This window comes from Homo sapiens, chromosome 6 (assembly GCF_000001405.40).
Source record: "Homo sapiens chromosome 6, GRCh38.p14 Primary Assembly".
NCBI lineage: Eukaryota > Metazoa > Chordata > Mammalia > Primates > Hominidae > Homo > Homo sapiens.
In genome coordinates, this window is record NC_000006.12 from 145,132,245 (window position 1) to 145,137,253 (window position 5,009).

Here is a 5,009-nt window from a genome sequence, read left to right on the forward strand (position 1 = left end):
TGGGTCCTCCAGTATTGTGTGCATATATATTTAAAATTGTTATATCCTCTTGCTGAATTGACTCCTTTATCATTATATAGTGACCTTCTTTGTCTCTTCTTATGGTTCTTGTCTTGAAATCTATTTTGTCTGATATAAGCATAGCTACTCCTGCTTTTTTTTGGTTTCCATTGGTGCGGAATATCTTTTTCCATCCTTTTATTTTCAGTCTATGTGTGTCTTTATAGGTGAAGAGTGTTTCTTGAAGGCAATAAATCAGTACTTTTTTTTTTTTTTTTTTTTGAGATGGAGTCTCACTCTGTTGCCCAGGCTGGAGTGCAGTGACAGGATCTCAACTCACTGCAACCTCCACCTCCCAGGTTCAAGTGATTCTCCTGCCTCAGCCTTCTGAGTAACTGGGATTACAGGTGCTTGCCACCATGCCCAGCTAATTTTTGTATTTTCAGTAGAGACAGGGTTTCCCCATGTTGGCCAGGCTGGTCTTGAACTCCTGACCTCAAGTGATCTGCCCACCTTGGCCTCCCAAAATGTTGGAATTACAGGTGTGAGCCACTGTGCCAGGCCCACTCTACATCTGTTGATTGGAGAGTTTAGTCCTTTGAAATTCAATGTTATTATTGACAAGTAAGGACTTACTCCTGCCATTATGTTTATTTATTTATTTATTTATTTATTTATTTTTCTGGTTGTTTTATGGTTTTGTCTTCCTTCTTTCTTTCATTCCTGTCTTCCTTTCAGTGAAGGTGATTTTCTCCGGAGATACGATTGTTTTTTGTATATGTATCTATTGCATGCTTTTTGTTTTGAGGTTACCATGAGGCTTGTAAATACTATCTTGTAACCCTTTATTTTAAGCTGATAACTGTAGGGAGACCCCCTGAAACTATTGTTATGGGGTAAAAGATGAAATGTTCCTAATTATTGTAAATACAAAGTTGCATGCAGGATTGTGTAAAGACAATGCCAGGTTGGACTGCCAGAATGAGCCAACAGTGAGCGACGTGCCTCCCCCTGCAGAGAGCCTATGAACAGACGTGTAGTCAGGGAGGTTTCACATCACCAAGATTCCTATCCCAGAAAAACAGATGTTCATAGCTCTGGGAATGGAATGTGACCCTTGTGGAGAGCTTATAAATGGACGAATGAGGGGGCACCTGTTCATATGGATAAGATAGGGCTATAAATGCCCTTATCTTGCCACGTCTCTTCTAGGCCTCTTTAGGGTTAAGGCATACTCCCTTCTGAGAATTTCTGGTCTAACTAGTTGTCTAGCTTCGCGTCCTGTTTCTATGGATTGTTTGTAACTAGCTTTTGCTGCAACTGTTACTGCTGATTAATATTTTGCTAATCATAGGTTATGGAAAGACTGCGTTTCTGTTTTAAGGCTCTGTTAGAAATTACTGATGCACACACTATATTGTAAATTCTTATCTCTGTATACTGTACTTCTACATATAGATGTTATGCGTTATGTTAAAGAATTACTTCAACCCCATGTGACCATCTCACCTCATAATCAAATGACCCTAAATCCCTCACTAACCTACCCCTTCCCTCACTAAACTTAATAATAAATGCTAGTATATCCAGTGCATTGGCGGCATCGTGGGACTAGAAGGCAGTGACCCCCCTGGACCCAGCTTTCACTATCTTGTGTGTGTCTATTATTTCTCGACCTGCCGATCCGCCTCGGAAGGAAGAGAAAGCCCTGTTGCATTGCGGGCTGCTGGCCAGATCCCGCAATAGATAACAATTTAAAACTCTTGGCACAAGCAAACAAACAAACAAGCAAAAAGAAAACTAATAAAGATTATACACCTTCACTTTATCCCCCTGCTTTTTAACTCTTTGTTTTTACTATTTATATCTTATTGTACTATGTTTTGAAAAGATGTTGTAGTTATTATTTTTGATTGGTTCATTGTTTAGTCTTTCCACTTAAGAGTAGTTTATACACCGCCATTACAGCATTATTATATTCTGTGTTTTTCTGTATACTTACTATTACCAGTGAGTTTTGTACCTTCAGGTGATTATTTATTGCTCATTAACATCCTTTTCTTTCTGATTGCAGTACTTCCTTTAGCATTTCTTATAGGACAGGTCTGGTATTGATGAAAATCCCTCAGCTTTTGATTGTCTGGGATAATCTTTATTTCTCCTTGATGTTTGAATGATAGTTTCACCAGATATACTATTTTAGGGTAAAAGTTTTTTTTTCCTTCAGAGCTTTAAATAGCCACTTCTTTCCTTGCCTGTAAGGTTTCCACTGAAAAGTCTGCTGCCAAACATATTGGAGATCCATTGTATGTTATTAGTTCCTTTTCTCTTGCTGCTTTTAGAATCCTTTCTTTATCCTTCACCTTTGGAAGTTTGATTATTAAATGCCTTGAGGTAGTTTTTTGGGGGTTAAGTTGGCTTGGTGTTCTATAACCTTCTTGTACTTAGATGTTAATATCTTCCTCAGGTTTGAAAAGTTGTTATTTTGTTATTTTTCCTTTGAATAATCAAATTTTCCTTTGAATAAACTTTGAATAAACTTTCTACCCCAATCTGTTTCTCTACCTCCTCTTAAAGTTCAATAACTCTTAGATTTTCCCTTTTGAGGCTATGTTCTAGATCCTTTAAGTGTGCTCCATTGTTTCTGATCCTTTTTTCTTTTATCTTCTCTGACTGTGTATTTTTAAATAGTCTTTTTTTAAGCTCACTAATTCTTTCTTCTCATTAATTAATTCTGCTATTAAAGAGTCTAATGCATTCTTCAGCATGCCAATTGCATTTTTCATCTCTAGAATTTCTATTTGATTCTTTTTAATTATTTCAATCTCTTTGTTAAATTTATCTAATAGAATTCTGATTTCCTTCTCTGTGTTATCTTGAATTTCTTTGTGTTTCCTCAAAACATCTATTTTGAATTCTCTATCTGAAAGTTCACATATCTGTTTCTCCAGGATTGGTCCATTGTGCCTTATGTAGTTCATTTGGCGAGGTAGTGTTTTCTTGGAACATCTTGATACTTGTAGTCATTCATCTATGTATGGGTATTGAAGAGTTAGGTATTTATTGTAGTCTTCACAGTCTGGGCTTGTTTGTACCCATCCTTCTTCAGAAGGGTTTACTGATATTTGAAAGGACTTGGGTCTTGTGATCTAAGCTGTATCTGCTTTAGTGGGGACCCCAAGCCTATTAACACTGTGGTTCTTACAGACTCATACAGGTACCACCTTGATGACCTGGGTAAGATTCAGAAGAATCTCTGGATTACCAGGCAGAGGTGCTTGTTCTTTTCCCTTCCTTTTTCCCAAATAAATGGAGTCTCTCTCTCTCTCTCTTCTGAACCACCTGGAACTGTGAGTGGAGTAACACAAGCAGCCCTGTGGCCACCACCCTAGGGGTCAGACGTGAGGCTAGCTCAGCATTGAGGTTTATTTGGGGCCCCAGAGCATTTAGCCTATGGTGATGAGACTTGTGGGAAATCAAGTTCTCGCTGCTGGGATTGGAAATTCTCTTCTGGTTAGGGCTTGTTTAAATGCTCACTCTATGGGCGGGCATCAGTTGAATTTGGTTTGGTTTTTCTTTCTGCTATAATGGGTCAGCATTGAGCTCAGTGCCTCATAATTGCTGTGCTCTCCCTCTCCCCACACGGAGAATTGCTCTCTGCACCATGACACTCGCTGCCGGATGTTGGGGGAGGGGTGACATTACTGATTCAAGTCTGTTTTTCCTACCTCTTCAGTGCCTTTCTCAGTGATATGAAGTTAAAACCAAGTACTATGAGTGCTCACCTGATTTTTGGTTCTTACGAAGTTGTTTTTTTGTGTAGATAGTTGTTAAGTCTGTGTCCTTGTAGTGGGGGACGGTCAGTAAAGCTTTCTATTCCGCCATCTTGCTCCACCCCTCTCCTGAGTCTATCTTTTACATGAAAAGTTTGGTCTACTCTATTTAAGTCTGGCAACAGGAAAAATACCTACAACCTCGTACTTTCTCATGGGATAGGAAAGAAAAGACTGTAGACTCCCAGAAGAATATCATAAACAAGGATATACGGGAAAGATAGCACTTAAGTTTCTGCCATTCCAATGACAAATGAAGGGAGGATCTTGCTTATGTTCATTGATACTTGCATGCTTTGATACCCATGTGCTCAAGACATCATTTGGGAATGAGTATTGGGTAAGTATAAGAGATTCCAGCACTCTGAATCTATCATGACACTTGCTGCTGCTCTCACACCCAAATACTTCTTCTGTTAGATTTTTCTGTAGCTTTCAGATACTCTTAGAAATGTGTGTTAGCTGAGATGTGCCACAATATAGTCATTTCTCATTAACATGGGACGTTTCTTTAAAAAATGGCAGCTGGTCATGTGTCTTGTATGGTTTTAAACTGCTGCTGGTTCACGATGATAAATTCCAAAATAATTTAGTCATTAATTATCTAGCTCTTGTTAACCTCACCAGCCTTACCTTCTGCCTTCAAGTTCCTGAAATTTTCTGAACTTTGAATCTCTGAACACATCAGGCCATGTCATATCTTTGTGCCTTTACACAGGTTTCTTTGTCTGCCAAAAGTACTTTTCCCCCAATTATTATTTGTCTATTTAAAATATGATCTCCTTTAGAAAGTGATTATGCTTCTTACCAATAGTTTTGATTCTTTTGCCTTTCCAGGCATATAAAAGACTGTACTTCTCTACTCCCTTAAACTTAGGTATGGCCATGTGACTTGGCCAATACGGTGTGAGAAGTTCACTGTTCCCTTCTGCTTGGAAACACATAAGAGCCCATGCATGACTCTATATATGTTCTTTTCCCTTGCAGTATCAATTGAAGAGGCCATGTGTTCAAGATGATGGAGCTACCGAGTGGCAAATCTTCCCTCAGCCGTGGACCAGTGTGTCACCATATAGAGAACAGTTACCCAGGTGGGTGACCAGACCACACTATAGTAGAATTTGTATAAGTGAGAGATAAATCTCTGCTCTGTTAAGGCCATAAGAGTTTGGACTG

The 5,009-nt window shown here is 38.9% G+C and overlaps 1 annotated feature.

Annotated features, from left to right (window-relative positions):
* Positions 3,434–4,633: an enhancer, noted in NCBI's record as "BRD4-independent group 4 enhancer chr6:145456814-145458013 (GRCh37/hg19 assembly coordinates)". NCBI's record gives its function as "activates an origin of replication core promoter dependent on BRD2, P300/CBP, MED14 and CDK7 cofactors, and independent of BRD4, by STARR-seq in HCT116 cells {active_cell/tissue: HCT116}" and the evidence as "EXISTENCE:reporter gene assay evidence [ECO:0000049][PMID:35650434]".